This window comes from Homo sapiens, chromosome 9, assembly GCF_000001405.40.
Source record: "Homo sapiens chromosome 9, GRCh38.p14 Primary Assembly".
NCBI classification, from domain to species: Eukaryota; Metazoa; Chordata; class Mammalia; order Primates; family Hominidae; genus Homo; species Homo sapiens.
The window spans coordinates 78,262,287-78,285,102 of NC_000009.12; the positions used below are offsets into that span (position 1 = coordinate 78,262,287).

Sequence of the window (22,816 nt, forward strand, 5' to 3'; positions counted from 1 at the left end):
TGTCCACATGTTTGGTGATTTCCTTAAGGTAAATTCCCAGACATTGAATTGGTAGTATTTACTAAAGATTACTCCAGAAAGTGGCACCAATTTCCTTTTCTAATGTAAGTGTATGGTAGAGTTCCTTCCCTCAACACTCTGGAGGAATTGGAGAATCTCCATCATGTCTAATTCCTTTTGTATTTCAATCTTTACCAGAAAGAGCCCTGTCCCTTTTAATTGGTTACTTGACTTTTAATTTGCTGTTACATAATTCAGGTGTGTTAAGTGTGTTAATAGGGCTTCCTATTATAAGGGATCCACAAATAAGAATAGAATTTCTTTTTCATAGCCTTAATTTTTATTTGACTCAATAAATATATGTGTATGCCTTCTATGGTGAGCTGTCATAAATTTATTTTGGAAAGAGTGGAAATAAATCTGTAATGTGCGAATCTGATGTTTTTGGTAATTAATTTCCCTAGCATGGTATGATATTATACAAGCAGTAGGCTATAATCCTGATATCTGAGTTCACTTCTGGCTCTGTCCCTAAACACTTGGTGAGCTCAACAGCTGGAAGAGTTTTGGGGATCATATTGGGAATTAATTATAATATTTACTTTATTACTTAATACTAGGAAAAACTGGAGGAGTGCCTAAAGCAGTTAAAGGAAGAAAGAGTGATAAGGCTTAAGGTTGATAAACGAGTCAGTGAGGTAAATAAAAGTTTTCTTACCTTTTGAGAGTTTTTTGTTTTGGTTTTGGTTTAACTTTAAGTCATACATACACACACTTTATAAACTTTAAAATGAGAAAATATAGTGTATTGCAAATGGTCACAGTATGTTAATGTTTGTATTTACTTATATTTGGTGACCGTGTGATCTGTATTCCAAAAAGCATGTTTTTTAAAAATGTAAAAATTGTAGTTTGTTTTCTTTTCCTCTGTTTTTATATGACTGGAGCTTATTTTCTGTTCATGATGCATCAATTCAAGAATGCATTTATTAGGCTTATACTGTATATACAATTGCGTAAAAGATGGGGATGAGACTATCTACTGAAGGGGAATTAGGAAAATGAATAAATAAGGTAAAAGATAATGGAAAACCGGTAAGAATGCAATGAAAGATAAAAATCTATACCATGAGGACTAAATTAGGTGAATGTGCATAAGAGCAGGGCATAAACTAGAAAGTTCTACATAACTATAATTTATTATTACAAAGCAAGTTTAAGGAGGAATTTTTGAAAGTATATGCATTGGTTTGAAAGACAGTTAATCATTCAATAAAGGTTGAGCACCTGATTGTATAAGGCAAAAGGTGCTTTGTGAACACAGTGGCCTTTCTGAGAAATACTAGAGTTAGACTTATGTGTAGTATTAGATAAATAGATTTGGTGTACAGGAGAGTACATATTTTCAAGAAGCAAAGGGGCAATATTGGTAATTGTACAGTTAGTAAATTGGGTATGATTTAGGACTTTTAAATTTATATATTAAGTATTTTACTGGCAAAAATTAGTCCTTAACAGCCAAATTGTAAAATGCTTACTCTTTATTTCATTGTCTAATTTAAGGGAAACCTTAAACAGCTAATTTTTAAATATAGAATGATCCAGGTATGTATTTAAGCTGTTAGAAATGTGATCTTTTTGAAAGATAATTAATGAAATACTATTTATATTATTTATGTAGGAGGTTTTGTCAGTTATCTCCAGGTTTTGATTGTTATTTAATATGGTCTGTCTTTACTGGTAGAGAGTTAGATTAACTGCAAATTAATTACATTTTTAAAATGTTTTATTTTAGTTTCATAAAAACTATTTTGGTGATAATGAGAGAAAATCATGTCACACATTTTCAATCTTCTTTTATAGCTGGAACATGAAAATGCCCAGTTAAGAAATATAAATTTCTCTTTGTCTGAAGCCCTTCATGCACAGTCATTGACAAATATGATCCTGGATGATGAAGGTGTTTTGGGCAGCATTGAGAATTCTTTTCAGAAGTTTCATGCTTTCTTGGATCTCCTTAAAGATGCTGGGTTAGTTACTTTCTCCCTATGACATTCGTCCCTCCATGACTTTAATGGTGTTTTGCTGAGGAACTTGAGCAATTTTTATAGCTTTCTGAAGTCATATTTACTGTGTAATTATAAGTAATACACTTGATTTTTTAAATGTGGAATTAATTTTAAAAGAAATGCAAAATGACAAACCTGCCTTGGTTGAGGGCCCAATATGAAAGAGTAAACTTATCTGGCTTGGTGGTTTGCACCTGTAATCCCAGCTACTTGGGAGGCTGAGGCAGGAGGATCACTTGAGCCCAGAAATTCAAGGTTAGCCTGAGCAACATAGCAAGAGCCCATCTCTTAAAAAAAAAAAAAAAAAAAAGAGTAACTTGTAGATAGAGTAATTGGTAGCTGTGATTCTTGTTAAAGACCAAATTGAAGGTAGTTTTAATTGAAAGTATTCAGGAATGTATAGGAATTTTTCTTTTATTCACTTTGCTTGTTAAATAAGTTTGAATTAAAATTAAGTTTGAGATATTAAAATTGTTATTAATCTGCAGGGTAGATATAGATATAGATATGGATCAGTGGTCCTCAACCAAGAATGATTTTGCTGAACGAATATACTGAAAGAAAGAGTTGGAGATAGATAATTGATAGAGTTATGTTTTGTAGGTGAACGGTTTGGTGAGGAAAGGAACAAACATATTCTTGAGGACTGGAGGAAAGGTGGTATAGATGTGTGGGGATGAAGGTGAGAGGCAGTAGGTGTGTGGTAGAAATTGCAGCTTCTACTGAGACAGTATATAAAATACGGAATAAGTAAGGAAATGAAGTCAAGAGGTATCTAATACATTGTTGGGGGAAGAGACAGTGCTTAAAGGATTGGATGATATGATATGGTTTGTCTCAGAGAATAAATGTGGGAAGGTCTGAGAAATTGGGAGGGATGGGGGTGTAGTCTGGAGTAGGATAATGGGTTTTAAGATTTTAGAAGTATTTAATGATTGTAGGTTTGGGGAAATGTAAGCTGTTCTTATGTGCTTCTAGTAATCCTTGCCTTTTCCTCCTTTTCTTCTCTCGACCAGGCTTGGGCAGCTTGCCACAATGGCTGGGATAGATCAGTCAGATTTTCAATTACTAGGTCATCCCCAGATGACTTCTACTGTTAGTAATCCACCTAAAGAAGAAAAGAAGGCGCTTGAAGATGAAAAACCAGAACCGAAGCAGAATGCCCTAGGGCAAATGCAAAATATCCAGGTAAATGAATAGAACAGAACTTAGTGATTCTACAAGTGATTAGCAAAAAAGGGAATTACTAAGTCAGAGAGAAAAGAATAATGATCTGTGCACATGCTCAGGGACCAGAAGCATCTTTGGGGTCCTTTCCAAGACTGAGATTAGTAAGTTTGTGCCCATTTCCTTATATTGTATTGTTGTAAATAAAAAATAAGAAAGTTCTTTTGAAACTTTATGATTTAAAGTAGACTATCCTCAGTGAAGAAATGAAAGATTAGAGAAATGATTTTCAATTTTCAATTTTATAAATGTCTATTCTATTCATATTCCATCTAGGTTTCTATTTGTATGCAGTCAGCTTACAATGAAGGAACACTAATGAAGGTACAAGTACTGATATAGATAATTTTTCAGAATAAGTAATTCATATATAACAGGCAGTATATTATAGGCATCATCTAGTTATGGGAATGGGAGGGGCAAACCTGTCTGCCACAGGAGTCCCCTGCTGCTTTTCCTCTGGCCTTACTTGGAGCCCCCATCTGCCATCTCAGCCAGTCTCAGACTGGTCTTGGCAACTGACGACTTGAAAACTCAGTCTACTTATAAATTGGATACTGCTTACATGTGCATAGAGGATAGGAAAGATACTAATTTTCTTATAGAATAAGGTTCTTTTTTTTTTAATGAGGGAGACATAAATTAGTAATAATTACAGAAAACACAGAAGTCTGAAAATGTGCTGGACCTACTCCTGGCTATAGCTAAGTTAAGTTGGCAATCACTTGGCAAGATATAATTAGGGCAAAAATGACCTGGAAATCTTCTAAGATCACAGAATAACATTGACGTTTTGAACTCGATTTTTAAATGGATGGCTTTGTTTGTCACTAAATTTTTGTTTTGTTTTTCCTTCTAGTTTCAGAAAATTACAGGTGATGCTAGAATTCCTTTGCCTCTCGACTCCTTTCCTGTCCCAGTTTCTACTCCAGAGGGCTTAGGAACTTCCAGCAACAACCTAGGAGTCCCAGCTACTGAGCAGCGGCAGGAGTCTTTTGAAGGATTCATTGCTAGAATGTGTTCTCCTTCACCAGATGCGACTTCTGGAACTGGAAGTCAAAGAAAAGAAGAGGAGTTGTCCAGAAATAGCAGATCTTCTTCAGAGAAAAAGACCAAAACAGGTGAATATACCAAAAAACACTCTGATAAGCAACACCCTGGAAAGGACCTGCATTCCTGATCTGACTGTCCTGAAAACCAGAAAAGCAAAGAAACTAGGGAAACTAGTTCTTTGGTTAATGAACCAATTAAAAGTAGGTCTTTGAAAAAATACGTTTCTGTCAAGAAAGAAAATAGAATAGTGACTGTTTCATCCAAGACAAATAAAAGTAAATCCAGTCCACTAGAACATTCTGAAAGTGATACTCTTGGATGTGATTTTGAATTTCAAGAAAGCATCCATTCTCTATCACACCTTTCATATGACTAAATCTTTTGAAACTATGTTTTTACCTTTAAATTTTAATAAATTTTCTTATGTTTTTATTATGGCATATGGTGTCTTAAAATATAGGATTGGAAGCCACTAAAGGAAGATTTCTCTATACTTTTTATTATAGTGAAATTTTTGGTCTGTTTTTCCCTTTGATAGTTTACAACATTGATTCAGCAATTGTTTACTGAGGGGCTAGTATGTATAATATCATTCTGGGTGCTATGGCTTTCAGCAGTGAACAAAACAAAGCCTTTAATCTCAAGGAACTAACATTCTGTGGAGGGAGAAAACAGAACAACAAAGCAGAGTACGATGAATAGAAAGGGATGGGAGTGAATAAATGGAATAATTTTACCATTTGGTTAAATTTGGAAATAAATATATATCACATGGCCAGAAGCCATTGACATATTCTAATATATAACCAGAGCAGCAAACATGTCTAGATGCTTAAGCATGTTCATGGATTATAGCAACCCTATAAGATAGGGAACTATTAATATTATTATGTCCATTTTATAGATGAGGTGTCTAAGGAGACAGATTATGTGAATTGCCCAAAGTTGCACGGCTGTAAATAGGTGGTAGGGCTGGGATCTCAACCAGAACCCATACTTTAATGAGCTATCCTGTTTCACTGTTAAGAGAGGAACCACTTAAGGAAGATTCTGAGAAAAAAGCCAATGAACACTATAAGTAGAAAAGAGTGGGGCTATCAGAAAGCACACCTGGGTTGAATTTTTCAAAGGCAGAGTTAGTAAGAGTATGGATATAAATCTTTGGAGTAAATACCCCTCCCTGGTAAAATATGCATAGATAAGTCCTTTCCTACAACCAGACTATGACTTGAGAGATGAGATGAGAGAAAAGCTGGAGCGTCAGATTTCTTCTGGATGGTCTTGCCTGATTGTTATCAAAAGGGCTACTACAATACTACTGAGTTCATTAATCATGGATTGACTTATGGGAATGAAACAATGAACAAGATGTAATCTTGGCTTTTTAACAGTTGAGTGAAGGGGAGATACACAAGCAGATGTCGTAATACCGTATATTACATTCTATGGTGGAAATGCTGAGGGAGTTTAGTCAGTGTGGGGAAAAAGGAGGAGAGCAGTGGGGCCAAGAAAGGCCAACTAAAGAGACCAAAGGTCATGTTAATTTCTAAGCTAAGTCTTAAAAGTAATGAGTTACAGGCTGGTGAATAAGAAGGTGAAGGGGAAGGATACTCAGGGCAGAGGGAATAGCATGAGCAGAAGTACAGAGCCGTGAGTGTGAGTATGTGCGTTTGAGGAACCACAAACACAAGTAGTTGAGAGTTACCGAAATGTCATCAGGCACTAGCAGATGTCGCTCAAGGAGGCAGCTAGGGGAACAAGATCGAGTCTTATAATCCACGTTGCATGGAGCTGGTTCTTTTTCTTCAGTAAATAATGAGCTAGTAAAGAATGGAAGTTATATGCTCAGGCTTGCATTTTAGATCATTAGCTTTAGGCTGATACATTAAAGAAGTGTGGAGATCAGTTTTCCACACTTTTCTGAAGAGCATTTGTCTTTGATTTTTAAATGGGACTTATCCTCCCAATTCCTCTCCTACTGAAATAATTTTTAGACAAACATAAAGGAGACCCTCGCATAAATAGAATTAAGCAGGTTTCTTTTCTTTTTTTTTTTTTTTTTTTTGAGATGGAGTCTTGCTCTGTCGCCCAGGCTGGAGTGCAGTGGTGCGATCTCGGCTCACTGCAAGCTCCGCCTCAGCCTCCCCAGTAGCTGGGACTAGAGGTGCCCGCCACCATGCCCTGCTAATTTTTTGTATTTTTCGTAGAGACGGGGTTTCACCGTGTTAGCCAGGATGATCTTGATCTCCTGACCTCGTGATCCACCCACCTTGGCCTCCCAAAGTGCTGGGATTACAGGCGTGAGCTACCATGCCTGGCCGCAGGTTTCTTTACAGTAGTACTTCTCAAGGGTGCTAGAGGCTAATGTTCATTCTGAGTCTTCAAGACAGGCATATGGTATGCAGCCCTTCTCAAATATACTTGTTTATAGAATCCTTTTTTAATAGGAGTGCCTAACAACTGGTGCCACGAAATGCCAATTTAGTAACTTACGACTTAGCAAGAAGAGAAAGGGATCTAAAATAAGGTATAGATGAAGGGAGGGAGTAAGTTTTAATCTTATTTTGGCAATTAAATAAGATTTGGTTATGGGAAGTAAGGAAAAAAGAGGCAGTGGGTGGACTTGTGTTTCTGTGACTAAGGTTGGGTGGTGGTATCATTGAGGCTGAGAATATGGGATAAAGAACTGCTTTGGAAAGAAGAGTTTAGTTTGGAGCAGGTTGAACACATCACCTGCAGATTTCAGGAGGAAATGACTGGTAGATGATTGGATGTACATATGAAGACATGGAAATAAAGAATTTGAAAGTCATCAGCACATATAAGCAGTAGTTAAAATCATAAAGTTGATGAGAACACAGAATTGTGGGGACTGTCAAGGTTTAAGTGATAAGCAAAGAAAGGATTCTGAGAGAGACAAGTGATAAGAGTGTCAAGAAGGAAGAAGTAGAATACAGTGTCACATGGCAGAGAATAAGTGTCCACGGGATTTTGACAGTTAGGTCCCAGGTGACCTTAATGAGAGCAATTCACTGAATTGGTTGATGAAAATGCCAGATTGCAGTAAATTGAGGGGCAGGAATGCCCTGAGGGGGCAATGAAAACTAGGTATAGGACTACTCTTTGAAGGAGTTTGGATGATAAGAGGAAATGGAGTTAGCTGAAGAGGAATTTTTTAGACTAAGGACTTAAATGTTTGTAAGGTGAAAGGAAAGAACCAAGTAAAGAAGGAGAGGCTCATTTATGCAGCAGGATCTCAGACAAGCAGGGACATGAGATACTTTAATGTTCTTAAGACTAAAAGAAACAGATCTGAACAGATGGGGATGTACATATTTGAATTCTTGATGAACTTGAGATGACTCCCATACATGTAGTGCAAAATGGTTAGATAAGTAACTTAGAGAATCTGGGAAAGAAATATGGATTAGAAAATAAAATCAGGGATGGGGTCACATTGTAAAATATGTAAAAGTTATTGTAGAGTTGGGGGATCCTGGGAAGTGTGGACAGAGACAAAAATGGGAAGAGTTAGAAGTTAAATGAGTTTATACCTGATAACCCCAGTTTTCTTTAACCATGGATTTTTACAAGACCTACACACAATCACATAATTATAGTTTTAAAATTCTTCCATATTTTACATATATTTTATCAAACATTTAAAACCGTAACATTAAGAGTTATAAATGTGGATATTTTGCTGCTTAATATATACAATTTTAGCCCTGCAAGTAATTGTTAAACTTTCAATATACCTGAAATAATATCATTTAATTTTGAAATATGGTATTTTCATTTGGTTTAGAGAAAGGTACAAGTGTGTTCCTTTACTGAGAAATTACTATGCACCTTTACTGAGTACTTACCAGCACATATACAATCTGTATGCAAACAGGACCCTTTTCAGAAAACATTCAGATGTGATACTGTAGCAAAGAGCTTGTCATCCTGTCTTAAATTCACACATAATTACTAGTGGTCAAAAATCATCACTCTTGCTTGCCCATCCAGTTCTATATCCAATAATGAGTTCGTCCAATTTCAAATGGGTATTTACAGAATCTCTAATCTCAAGACAGTAACACTTGATTTTCAGAGGATCGGCATGATAGGAGATGATTGGTTTTTTGAAAAATTCTGATTATAAACTACATGCTGGAACATTAACATGGATGACTGAACACATTCTTTTATGCTTCTAGAATCCCATTGAAATGACTGGAGAAATATTAAAATAAAAATAATAGCAGAGTTGGAAAACCAGAAATTTGAACAGTGAAATTTCTGGAAGATAAGAAGCAGATGATTTAAGTACCAGTTAATTAAAGGATGGAACAGCTAAGCCATTCCACTCATCTTTGGAGCATCTGATTCTGGAGTTTGCCACCAGGCTAAGAAAGCAGCTATCTGAAGTGGGAGCTCTGACCCAAGAAATGCTGGGATCGGAGAATAAGGGAATTATCCAAAATGGCTCCGAAGAGGAACTGAAGTTAAGCTGCCCACATGATCTCTCTAACTATGATGACCTGCCACTTCCGTTTATAATCACCATATAAGTGCCTGTAATCATTTGTGTTCATTAAAAGTGAACCAGAATTCCCATTTGGATGAAAAAATAACACTTCCAACTTTAATCTTAGGCCCTCATTTATAAATATGGACAACCAAGAATCATCAAATTTGAAGAAAACCAGTAACATAAAAGGAGGCATGAAATTAAAATTAACCTGTTCAAGAAGATAGTTACTAGGAGAAACATGAAATTTTTAAATTAATGAATCAAAATCTTCAGCAATTCATAAAGATACTGTGTTCATAAAGAATAGGATGCCATGAAAAAAATATTTAGAGTTTCTGGAAATTAAAAATTTGATTATGAAACTGAAACACTCAGAAGATGGACTACACAGCAGAATGGATTCATTTGAAGCTTAAATTCATGAAATGGAAGGTATTAATTGGTCTTAGACGTTTCATCAGCAACTTAATTACTTAGAAAAAATCTTTCTCAGAGTAACTAAGCAAAATGAACAATGAACCCATTAACGTGTGGTTTTGTTTTTTGGGTTTTTTTTTTTTGAGTCAAGGTCTCACTCATGTCACCCAGGCTGGGGTGTAGTGATGGGATCACAGCTTATTGTAACCATGAACCATTGGGCTTAAATTATCTTCCCACCTCAGCCTCCCAAGTAGCTGCAATGTACCACCATGCCGAAGTTTTAAAAAATTATTGTAGAGTTGGGTTCTTTCTTTCTTTTCTTTTTTTCTTTTTTTCTTTTTTTTTTGAGACGGAGTCTCGCTCTATTGCCCAGGCTGGAGTGCAGTGGTACAATCTCAGCTCACTGCAACCTCCTCGATCTCAGCTCACTGCAACCGTGAAGTGATCTTCCTGCCTCAGCCCCCCTAGTAACTGGGATTACAGGCACACACCACCATGCCTGGCTAATTTTTGTATTTTTAGTAAAGACGGGGTTTCACCATGTTGGCCAGGCTGGTCTCGAACTCCTAACCTCAGGTGATTCACCCACCTCGGCCTCCCAAAGTGCTGGGATTACAGGCATGAGCCACTGCATCCGGCCAAGATGGGTTCTTTCTTAGGCTGGTCTTGAACTCCTGGCCTCAAATGATCCTCCCACCTTGGCCTCCCAAAGTGCTGAGACTACAGACCTGAGCCACTGTGCCCAGCCCCATGAAAGATGTTTAGATCAAATAAACTGATAAAGATATTGATAAAGATATGAGACAAACTACTTCAGCTTTGTGACCTGCAAATCCCCTTTTATAATCACCAGAGGTGCCTGTAGTCAGAAAAAGTCTAAATAAATACTAATGACATATGAAAACAAAGTCCAACCAAAGTTCTAGGTTTGAACATGAATGGAGGCATGGCAGGACACAGAAAGTGAAAGCTTGTCCTAGATATTGTCTTATTCATGGGAAGGATACAGGTAGTGTTTGATTCTAGGTATTGATTGAAAAAATATATTAAAATATATATAAAGTTAAGGGTATGTTAGTAAGGATAGGTTAGGTGATGTTGCATTAACAGCTCCCAAATTTTAATTACTTTCAACAACATAGGTTTATTTGTGCCCATGCAGTTTGCCTTTGGCAGATTGGCTAGAGGCCCCTATTCAACATCAACCTCAATCTGGAAGCGAGGCTGGTGGAACGTCACTATTTGGAACATTGCTGGTTGCAGTGTCCAAGGAAAGACAGTATGATGCAGCATATATTGTGACTTAAAGCTTCTGTCTAGATGTGACATATGTCACTTCTGTTCACATTTCTTTGGCCAAAGAAAGTCACATGGTTATGCCTGAGTTCAGCAGACCAGGGAAGTGCAGAATTGCCATTTGCCATGAGAAGAGAGGGAAGCAAATGTATGTCAACAACTTTAATAGCTACAAAACTACCTGGAAAGAGGGAATGGAATTTTTAGGTCCAACAAGACGGGAAAGAAAAAGAAACAAGCTACATAGAAATAAAAAATCCACAATATAGCAAGATCAAGTTTTTTACTCATAATAAACATGAACAGGTTAAATTCTGGAATCCTTAGGCTTGAGTAAAAACATGAAATCCCACTGTGTGCTATTTGCAAAATCTAAAACGCTGTCATAGATTATAAAGAGATGAACAAAAATATACCAGGCAGATGCTAAAGAGTAAATGTGGCTGTGTTAGCTGCAGACTAAATAGAACCCAAGGTGAAAATTGGTAAAGGGGACAAAAGCTTCTTTTGGCTGATAAGTACAGTGTTGCAGAAGATTTTTTAAAAAAATATATCTGCAATTTAAAAACTTGATGTTAGGCCGGGCGCAGCGGCTCACGCCTGTAATCCTAGCACTTTGGGAGGCCGAGGTGGGTGGATCACCTGAGGTCAGAAGTTCAAGACCAGCCTGGCCAACATGGCAAAACTCCGTCTCTACTAAAAATACAAAAAAAAAAAAAAAAAATTAGCTGGGTGTCATGGCGCATGCCTGTAATCCCAGCTACTCGGGAGGCTGAGGCAGGAGAATCGCTTGAACCTGGGAGGCGGAGTTTGCAGTGAGCTGAGATGGCACCGCTGCACTCCAGCCTGGGCCATAGAGGAGACTCCGTCTCAAACAAACAAAAACCTTCATCTTAAAATTATAGGGTAAGAATTTAGAAATACAAGGAAAAATGGCCAGCCAGTTATAACAAGAAGCTTTAAGACATCTCTTTTCAGAATCAGTGGATCGACTGCTGCACACACACTAGAATGGCTAACATTTTGAAATGCTGATAAATATGCAGAGCAACTGGAGTTCCTCACAGCTGGTAGGAATGCAAAATGACTCAGTCACTCAAAACAGTTTGGCAGATTCTTTAAATGCTAACATACACATACCATATGACCAAGCAGTCCCACTCCTGGGTATTTAGAGAGATGAAAACTTAGTTCACACAAAACCTGTGCGTGGATATTTATAGCAGCTCCATTCATAGTGACCAAGATGTCTTCCAACAGGTGAATGGATAGCGATGTATCCATATGGTGGCAAACATGCCACAATTCGGATGAATCTCAACATCATATGCTGAGTGAAAAAGCCAGTCTCGGAAGGCTACATTCTGTATGATTCCATTTATATGGCATTCTTGAAAAGACAAAACTATAGTGACAGAACAGATTGGAGATTGCCAGGTGTTGGGGTTGGGAGGAGTTGATTACAAAGAGGCTGTACAAGGGAGTTTGTTTGTTTGTTTGTTTTGGTGATGAACAGTTCTGTATCCTGATTGCGGTGGTGGTAACGTGAGTCTATACATATGTTAAAATTTATAGAACTGCATACTCTCAAAAAAATTAGTTTTACTCTATAATAATATTAGAGCTTAAAAAATTCATCCCTCTTGCCCATCAGTAGATCAGGATATGAAGGATACCATTGAACATAAATATTTTGTATCCATGATGAATACAAAGTATATTCTCCTGGAAAACCAATAGAACATTCATATAAATGATTCCTATGAAGGTAAAAAACTTACAAAATTCAAAGATCATACAGATCATGTGCTCTGTATAATGTAATAATAGTAACAAAAGGCCTGTCCACTTGGAAATTTTTAAATGATCTTCTAAATAACTCATTTAAAGGAGAAATCAAAATAAATTGCAAATTATTTAGAATTAATAAAAACTTCTCTAAAGCTGAGGAATTCTACCAAAGAGGTGTTAGAGGAAATTGTATAGATTTTGATTTACTTTCCAGGAAGAAAGAAGACAAAAGAGATGAATTAAACATTTAAAGCTAAGAAAGAGATAAACCAAAAGAAAGGTGAGGAATTGGTAAAAGCAGAAATGAATAAAATAGCAAATTTTGATCAGTGAAACACAGGTTTTTAAAAATGAAAGATAAACCTTTGTAAAATATGATAAAGAAAAAAAAGCAAGAAGTAATTAACAAAAATTGCCAGCATTAGGAATAATTTTAGAAGGATACCTACAACTAGAAGAGATATTTTTAATTATGAGCACTTTTATAATTTACTATAAATAATTGTGTAGTGTTAAACCAATAAATTTGAAAGACTAGATGAAATGTGACTGTTTAAAAATATGGATTGTAAAAATTGATAAAAAATAGAAAATGTAAATAAACGAAACATCTTAGGAGAAATTGAAAAAATAGGACAAGAACTTATTTTTAAAAAGAGGCCAGGTGCGGTGGCCCATGCCTGTAATACCAGTACTTTGGGAGGCCGAGGTGGGCGGATCACCTGAGATGAGGAGTTCAAGACCAGCCTGGCCAACATGGTGAAACCCCGTCTCTACTAAAAATACAAAAATTAGCCGGGCTTGGTGGCGGGCACTTGTAATCCCAACTACTCAGGAGTCTGAGGCATGAGTGTCGCTTGAACCTGGGAGGCAGAGGTTGCAGTGAGCTGAGGTCACACCGTTGCACTCTAGCCTGGGAGACAAGAGGGAAACTCTGTCTCCAAAAAAAAAAAAAAAAAAATACAGTTAGAAAAACTTTAAAGGGGCCAGGTGTGGTGGCTCATGTCTGTAATCCCAGCACTTTGGGACACCAAAGTGGGAACATTGCTGAGACCAGCAGTTTGAGACCAGCCTGGGCAAGACCTCATCTCTACAAAAATTAAAAAACAAAACAAAACAAAAAAACCCAAAACTTAGCCAGGCATGGTGGTGCGTGCATGTAGTCCCAGCCACTCAGGAGGCTGAAGTGGGAGGATCGCTTGAGGCCGGGATTCGAGGCTGCAGTGAGCTGTGATCATGCCACCACTGCTCTCTAGCCTGGGCAAGAGTGAGACTCCGACTCAAGAAGAGAAAAAGAAAAACCTTCCAGGGGCACATTTATTTGTAAACCATTCCAGAGGATAGAAAAGAGATGTAAGGCTCCCTAATTCATTCCATACGGTTAGCGTAATCCTTATAGCAAACTGCACAAATAAAACACAAGGAAAACTAAACCAAATTCAATTAATGTAGGTGCAAAAAATCCAAAATAAAACTAGCAGTTTGAATTCAGCATTGTAGCAAAAGATATATCATTTTCAAGGAAGATTTGTACCAAAACATGCAAGATTGAGTGAAGAGTAACTCACTGTAGCTCACTAAATTAACAGATTAAAGAAGTATAGTCATCTTCACAAGCTGAAAGAGTATGTGATAAATTCAACATCCTCTGGTATTCTTAACAATCTCGAAATAGAAGGAAACTTCCTTAGCTTAGCTTCTTGGCTTCATTAAATATACCTAACAGAAATCCACAGGAAACAAACTTGGTGAAAAGTTTTTGCTAAGATAAAAACGGTACTAAAAAGTACACATTTTGGGAAATGAGACAAGGCTCTCGTTATTTGTAAATATGGGGTCTTTTTTTTTTTGGACAAAAAACCCCCTGTGATGATCTACTGGCATGCTATTACAGCTAATAAAGCTGAATAAGGAGGCTGTGCACAACACCAACACACCGGTATGAAAAGTGTGTACACCAGCAATAACCAATTAGAAAATGTATGAGGAAATAGACTCTCATCCACAATAGCTGCGAGAAGTAAATATTATCTAGAAATAAGATTAACAAGAGAAATGTAAGGCCTATATAAATAAAAGGATAAATCTATGCTAGAGGGTATAAAAGAAACACAAAAATAGAGGTATGCCATGTATAAGACCCAACATAATAAATAGTTCTACCAAATTAATTTATAAATTCAAAGCAATTTCATATAACCACAGTAAAGCTTTTTAAATGGATGTAATAACCTGATTATAACATTAATCTGAAAGTCATCAGGCATAAAGCAATTTTGATTACATCTCAAAACAATCCATGGAGTTAGGGTAAATGTGCTGTTCACACAGGAATAATCACAGGTATAGAACCGAGAACCTAGGAACAGAGCAATGTATATATATATGTATTTAAAAAATGGCATCACAAGTCAGTAGAGAAGGGTTTGAACTATTCAGTAAATGATGTTGAGGTTATTTACTACTTTTTCTTATTTCATATCATGGATGAAAAAAATCAAGATGAATTAAACATGGAAATTAAAAATAACTAGAAGAAAATACTGGAAAAAAATTGTAATAAATGTGTAAGAAAGGCATTCCCAACCAAGACACAAAACCCAGTAGCCATGAAAAAAAAGATAGATTTGACTACATTTTTAAAAAGTAAAACCTTTCACTTTTTACAAAACTTTGATAAAATTAGATTTCATAAATAAAGGAGTGGGAAAATACATGTAATAGAACAGAAGATTTAAGATAATATAAAGAGCACCTACAAACAACAAAAATTGGACAAAGGCTATAAAAATATTTTATAAATAAGAAATACAGACTATAAACATAAACTTTCAACCTCGTAAGCAATCAGGAAAATTAAAGTTAAAATGAGATACTATTTTTCAATACATTGAAATGGCAGATTATTAAAGATTGGTGATAGTGCTGGAGATAATGTGAGGAAAGGAGTATTCTCAGTCATTGTAGAAATTGATACAGCTTTTGGATGGACAGTTTGACAGTGTGTATCAACATGTGAAATGTCTCCAGCCTTTGATCTAATGACTAATTTTAGGCATCCAGCCTGAAGAAATATTCACACAAGTGCCCAAAGAGTCAGATACAAGACTGTGTGAAGTGTTTTTTGAGATAATAAAAAACTAGAAACAGCATAAATGTACAGAAATGCAGAAATTGTTGAATTAGTACATACCAATTTCTGACATATAACACTCTGCAGCAGATAAAGACAATAGCTCTCTAGTGTGGACATGAAAATATTTCTAAGACATTGACAGGACGAAGAAGTTGCACAGTAACCACGCACTCCTGTTTACATTTGTATAGTTAAAACTTGTTTACCTATACGTAGCATATATGCGTGTGTGCACCCTAGAAAAGAGTCTGTGATAACACATATCAAGCTATTGACAGCGGTTTTGTCTGCTGAAGGAGGAAAAAAGGGGGGCTTCTCACATTTTACTCCATTTAATTCTAGGTTGTTTGGTTTAAAAAAAAAGTTTTTATGTACAACAGACAATTTTTAAAATTCCTTTTCATCATAGAAAATGAAAATGTGTACTCTGTTATCCTTTACGCTCTGTCCATTTTTTTCTTCAAAAATGTGTCTGACCTATTATCAATGTGAATGAAAATGAGCTTTGCTACATAACCTCTTTTCAGAGCTTTGTATTCCTGAAGTGTTGGAGTCGCCTACATGGCATAGTCAAATGTTTTTAACTTAACCACAACCCACAGTAAAAATGAAGCTTTCTGCAAAGTTAAAAGTAGTAGTCCTGGCCCCACCTTCCTTGTGTGCACGTATAATTAATGGAAAATTGCATCAAACAACTCTGATTGTACTTCTAGTGACTAATTCATGTTCTGTTCTATTCCTTGCCTTTAAAGAAAATTATGTTGGCAACTCACGAAGTATGTTTCACAATCCACTAATGGGTAATGTCCTACTGTTTGGAAACACTGGCTAGAGTGTTTCAAACATCTGCTCTGTTTACCCCTGACAAAACTGCTACTCGTGGGGCAATGCAAGTCTTTCCCACATTTGTTTTATTTTATGGCTAAAAGTCATTTCTGCATTTGCAAATTACTTCCAAAGCCTACCTTCCTTGAGCTCTTTAACTCTCTATAGTCTTCTGGTAATTTTCTTTAGATTTCCCTTTTCAGAACCCTTTTGTGACACTGAAAACCTGAGTTTTCAAACTGATACATCTACCTGAGAATTTTCACATATAATTTGGTCAAAAAGTTAAAAAATAAGAAGACTTTGCCCTGTGACTGAGGTGCTCAGAAGGTATGGCTGGCTGCTCACAAAGGCACATAGTGAGTGATAGGGGCTGAAAGGGCTCAGAGAATGCCCGAGTTCTCTTAGTACAGTTTGTACATTTTAAACCACTGTGAACTGAAAAAAAAAAAAAAGGCAACCTTGGTAGTTTAGAAATAGATAAGGACCCACTTATAGATTAAATAATAATTAGCTTGTTCCAGAGAGACCAGTGAAGATTAGTTGGTTTATTTAATGTGTTAGAAAGATGGTCCTCAAAGTCCTTGAAATGTGAAGGCGGCTTTTATCTCCTTAAGAAAACAAGAAAACTCCACAAAATCTTGAAAGCTAGATAATCCTAGCTTAAATGATAAAATTTGAGTAGAGTTTGAAAACACTAAAATCAGTTTGCCAAATAACCAGCTCTAATTTCTTTATACCAAAGCCAAACTTCACCTAAATCTTACCTAAGAATTGAGTTCCTTATTGTAACCAGATAGGAGACACTTTTGTATATTATTCCAAATATTGCAAACCTACAAGGAGTAAAAGGTGTTATTATTTTAAAGAAGAAGGAATGAGGCCTGAGAGGTATTGATTCACTTGGTTGAGGGCTTCAAGTAGCACAAGGCAAAAGCAGGATTTGTTGACTTCCAAACCTGTTTTCTTCCTTCACCATGTGGCCTTTGCATCTTTCCCACACAAATATTATTCCACAAATATTTATTGTCACCAACTATAATAAAAGAACAGAACTATGTATCAGAGAGGCTGCAGGAGTGAGTTCTACCCAGGTCCACACTGCTGCTCACAGTCAAGTAAACTGCAGGCCGTTTTTGTGATGCCTGGCTGGAACGGCAAGTGAGGCATGGTATTCATTGGCTGGGCGCGGTGGCTCACGCCTGTAATCCCAGCACTTTGGGAGGCCGAGGCGGGCAGATCACGAGGTCCGGAGATTGAGACCATCCTGGCTAACACGGCGAAAACCCGTCTCTGCTAAAAATACAAAAAAATTAGCCGGGCGTGGTGGCGGGCGCCTGTAATCCCAGCTACTCGGGAGGCTGAGGCAGGAGAATGGCGTGAACCCGGGAGGCAGAGCTTGCAGTGAGCCGAGATCATGCCACTGCACTCCAGCCTGGGTGACAGCGAGACTCTGTCTCAAAAAAAAAAAAAAAATGGTATTCATTTTCTCTTCTTTAGGGACACCTAGGCTTATATCACTTTCTACAGTTGCTCTCTTTTCCAATTCCAATTTAGTTGGTATAACAATTACAAGTTTAAATTGGCTAATGCCTCAAAATGTTTTGTTATGGCTTTCCATTCCATTCATTTTTGTTTTTGAAAAATTAAATATTTAAAAATATTAAATAACTTTTCGCTGAAATCAGTCTTTTTTTTTTTTTTTTTTGAGACAGTCTTGCTCTGTGGCCAGGCTGGAGTGCAGTGGCACGATCCTGGCTCACTGCAGCCTCCACCTCCTGGATTCAAGCGATTCTCCTGCCTCAGCCTCCTGAGTAGCTGGGACTACAGGTGCACATCACCACACCCAGCTAATTTTTGTATTTTTAGTAGAGATGGGGTTTCACCATGTTGGCCAGACTGGTCTCAATCTCTTGACCTTGTGATCTGCCTGCCTCAGACTCCCAGAGTGCTGGGATTACAGGCATGAGCCACTGTGCCCAGCCGGAAATCAGTTGTCTTATATGTGAAGTCCATAGTATTTAAGGCCTAGTGGTTGAATATAATAGACAAGCTACAGTGCGGTGTTTTCTCTCACTAATAAGAGTAGATTTGGGCCGGGCGCGGTGGCTCAAGCCTGTAATCCCAGCACTTTGGGAGGCCGAGGGGGACAGATCATGAGGTCAGGACATTGAGACCATCCTGGCTAACATGGTGAAACCCCGTCTCTACTAAAAATAGAAAAAATTAGCCAGCCGTGGTGGCGGGCACCACCATCAATTGCCTGTGATTTTGCCATGCTTTTCAAGTGATTGCTTTCTTAAAGAGGACCATGATGAAACTTTCCACAAATCTGAGTTAAATCATCTTCACAGTTTACAAAGGTTATAATCATTTAGGATTTCTCCATGTTTGTCATCAGGAAACTGTGATTTTTCTCTACCATAACAGGGTTCTTCCCCATCTGGCTATTCTATCTCACCTGTTCTCTCTAGAAGGAAAAGCCTCATGCCTTTGGCCTTAGTTGGAAAGCATTGGCCTTGCTGGTCCTTGGCCTCCTATATCTGTCATAGCTCTGCAGGCTGAAGCACTAGTGAGCCTCCTATCAAGAGAAACTCCCAGGGAAATGAGAAATAACTTCATTTCTCCAAGGACTTCACGGTCCCACGTGGACGAGGCAGGTGCTTGCTAGGGCTGGGGAAGTCTTACCTCAAAAGAGGCAGAGAAGCCTCTTGGGTTTACTTTTAATGGTTTTGAGAAGCAGCAGCTTCAGAGGAGAGCTACCCCAGCAGGAACACAGGCCTCAGCCAGCCCTGGACTTCTGCCAGGGTTGGGGAGGGCCCCACAGCAGCAGGACTGACTTCACAAGACTGGATTTCTCCCAGTTAAGTTCATAAGTCATGGACTCAGGACAGCTGCCCAAGATCTTGAGTGGCATTTTGGAGAGCCTGAAGCCAAGGTTCTTCTGCAGGGGACTGCAGCTGTGCAGAAGGAGTCAGAGTCTACCACCATTGCTAAATGAGCCCTCTGGCTGACCCCAAACCAAAAAAAAAAAAAATTGGACAGAATAAGTTTGGGACTTTTAATTTCTTTAGACCACAGTTTTCAAGAAAAATGCCTTTTTTTTTTAGACCTTAATACCTCCCTGAGAATTTAATAATGTGAAGTATTTCATATAGTTCAAATCAGGGCATTTTAATATTGCTGGCATTTATTATTTGGAGAAGTTTTATGCCTTCATTTGCGTTCACTGCATAATCTCCAGTGAGCTCTATTGAATGTCCTACCTGAGGAAATGTAAAATGAAGAACAGACTACGGAGTGAATTTCCAACCTATGGCATTTATGACCTTCAGTAAATGCAGCCAATGTTCTGTTCTTACCCATTTCAGAACCTTCAGGGTCCAATCACTGACCTCAGGAGGACTCCTGAAGGAGTCGTGATGATGGCCCGGAGCAGGCTTCCAGGTGAGGGGGAAGGCTCAGGGACACTCAGCACCCTTACCCAGGGGGAACAGCTGCATCTGGCTGTGCTGCGCCCTAGGGGTTAAGAAAGCCAAACGAAGCCAGCACACCAACCCTCCATGGCTCACACTTGGAATCTCAGCACTTTGGGAGGTTTAGGCATGTAGATTGCTTGTATCTAGGAGTTTGAGACCAGCCTAGGCAACATGGCAAGACCCTGTCTCTACAAAAAGTTTAAAAATGTACACGTGTACCTGTGTAACAAACCTGCACATTCTGCACGTGTCCCCGAACTTAAAGTAAATACAAATTTTAAAAATAATAATAAAAATTAGCCAGGCCTGGTGGTCCACGCCTGTAATCCTAGCTACTTGGGAGGCTGAGGTAGGAGGATCACTTGAGCCCGGGAGGTGGAGGTTGCAGTGAATGGTGATAGTACCATTGCATTCCAGCCTGGGCAACAGACCGAGACCATATCTCCAAAACAAAAACAAAAACAAAAACTAAGAAAGCCAAACATAAGCCAAACACTGGGGAGGCAAGGGAGAGGGACATTTCCCTCTCTCTTCAGATGTCAGCCTAAGTCCATAAAGATGAGTGTTGCCTTCCTCAGATGTTTTGGGGACTAAGCCTTCTTCTTTTCAGACTCCCTGTATCCTCGCAGGATGAAGGAGTGACTCATTCAGGCTGCTGAGATTGCTAAAGTCTCAATATGCAGACTGGCCTCCTTCCTCTGGTTCTCTTTTGGATCTTGCCTGTCCCCAAGTAGCATGCAGTCTTCCCTTTGGTCTTGTTCATTTTCTGTAGTTGATTCATGGGGGCCTTCTCTGCCTCTGTTGCAAGGCAGGACATAGCAGGCTTGTCACTGCCTTGTAAGTAAATTCCATTTGCTGGGGGAAGAGGAATGGGAAGACCAACCTGGATTTGGCTTCCAGTCACAGTCTCCAATCCACCTTAAAAAGGACTGAAGCTGCTATTACCATCTTTATTTGAGTCTATTGTGCTGCTGTGAACAGGTTTCAGTTGAATTCAGAACTTTAGAGGGGACCTTAAAGTCCCCTCTAAATTAGTATTAATTAGTACCCTAAACACTCAACATGGATCATCTTCCTTCACATGTCAAGAAATATGACAGTGACTGGGCATGGTGGCTCACTCCTGTAATCCCAGCACTTTGGGAAGCAGAGGCAGGTGGATCACTTGAGCCCAGGAGTTTGAGACCAGCCTGAGCAACATGGCAAAACCCCGTCTCTACAAAAAACACAAAAATTAGGAAGGTCTGGTGGCACACACCTATAGTCCCAGTGTGTCCGGAATTGGTTCCTTCTGGTGGGTTCTTGGCCTCGCTGACTTCAAGAATGAAGCCGCGGACCCTTGCGGTGAGTGTTACAGTTCTAAAAGATGATGTGTCCGGAGTTTGTCCCTTCAGCTGTTCAGATGTGTCTGGAGTTTCTTCCTTCCAGTGGGTTCGTGGTCTTGCTGACTTCAGGAATGAAGCTGCAGACCCTTGCAGTGAGTGTTACAGTTCTTAAAGATGGTGTGTCCAGAGTTTTTTCCTTCAGCTGTTCAGATGTGTCTGGAGTTTCTTCCTTCCCGTGGGTTCATGGTCTAGCTGACTTCAGGAGTCTCACTGACTTCAGGAGTGAAACCACAAAGCTTCGCAGTGAGTGTTACAACTCTTAAAGGTGGCTCACCCAGAGTTGTTTGTTCCTCCCGGTAGGTTCATGGTCTCGCTGACTTCAGGAATGAAGCCGCAGACCCTCGCAGTGAGTGTTACAGCTCTTAAAGATGGTGTGTCCGGAGTTTGTTCCTTCAGCTGTTCAGATGTGTCTGGAGTTTCTTCCTTCCAGTGGGTTCATGGTCTCGCTGACTTCAGGAGTCTCGCTGACTTCAGGAGTGAAGCCGCAGAGCTTTGCAGTGAGTGTTACAACTCTTAAAGGTGGCTCGTCCAGAGTTGTTTGTTCCTCCCGGTGGGTTTGTGGTCTCACTGACTTCAGGAATGAAACCGCAGACCCTCGCGGTGAGTGTTACAGCTCATAAAGGTAGTGCGGACCCAAAGAATGAGCAGCAGCAAGATTTATTATGAAGAGCGAAAGAACAAAACTTCCACAGTGTGGAAGGGGACCCAGGTGGGGTTGCTGCTGCTGGCTCCAGTGGCCAGCTTTTATTCTCTTATTTGGCCCTGCCAACGTCCTGCTGATTGGTCCATTTTACAGAGTGCTGATTGGTCCATTTTACAGAGTGCTAATTGGTGCATTTACAAACCTTTAGCTAGACACAGAGTGCTGATTGGTGCGTTTTTACAGAGTGCTGATTGGTGCATTTACAAACCTTTAGCTAGACACACAGTGCTGATTGGTGTGTTTTTACAGAGTGCTGATTGGTGTGTTTGCAAACCTTTAGCTAGACACAGAGCGCTGATTGGTGTGTTTACAATCCTTTAGCTAGACAGAAAAGTTCTCCAAGTCCCCACCCGACCCAGAAGCCTAGCCAGCTTCACCTCTCACCAGCTACTTGGGAGGTTGAGGTGGGAGGATCACCTGAGCCTGGGGAGGTCAAGGCTGCAGTGAGCTGTGTGTGATCGCACCACCTTGGCGACAGAGTGAGATGCTGACTCAAAAAAAGAAAAAAAAAGAAAAAGAAAAAGAAACATAACAATTAACTGTAGAGTTCCACCTCCACAGCATACCTTCTGTCATAGGAAAGACTGATTTTCTCAGTTCCAGTTTAAAATCCTGGGAAAGTGTCTTACATCTATTTGGATAGCTACTATTAACAAAACAAAACAGACAATAAATGTTAGCAACGGTATGAAGAAATTAGAATCCTTGTGCACTGTTGATGAGAGTGTAAAATGAGGTAGCCACTATGGGAAAAAGTATGAAGCTTCCTAAAAAACTAAAATAAAATAGAACAGGGTACGGTGGCTCATTCCTATAATTGTAGCACTTTGAGAGGATTACTTGAGGCCAGGAGTTTGAGACCAGCCTGAGTAACAAAGTGAGACCTTATGTCTATTTAAACTTCTTTAAA

The 22,816-nt window shown here is 38.7% G+C and overlaps 1 protein-coding gene across 8 annotated transcripts in view; it reads left to right on the top strand.

Moving 5' to 3' along the window:
• CEP78 (centrosomal protein 78) overlaps positions 1-17,404 on the top strand; it is a 43,616-nt gene extending 26,212 nt beyond the window's left edge. For 2 of the 8 annotated variants that reach the window (NM_001349839.2, NM_001330691.3), the window contains exons 12-17: positions 621-698; positions 1,864-2,030; positions 3,086-3,257; positions 3,573-3,620; positions 4,156-4,417; positions 8,555-17,404. In NM_001349839.2, the coding sequence (NP_001336768.1) occupies positions 621-698; positions 1,864-2,030; positions 3,086-3,257; positions 3,573-3,620; positions 4,156-4,417; positions 8,555-8,565 (738 nt within the window). In that variant the 3' untranslated portion in view covers positions 8,566-17,404. Of the gene's footprint in view, positions 1-620; positions 699-1,863; positions 2,031-3,085; positions 3,258-3,572; positions 3,621-4,155; positions 4,790-8,554 lie in introns of those variants that run through there. The other 6 variants (NM_001349840.2, NM_001330693.3, NM_001098802.3 and 3 more) reach the window with 3 other exon arrangements.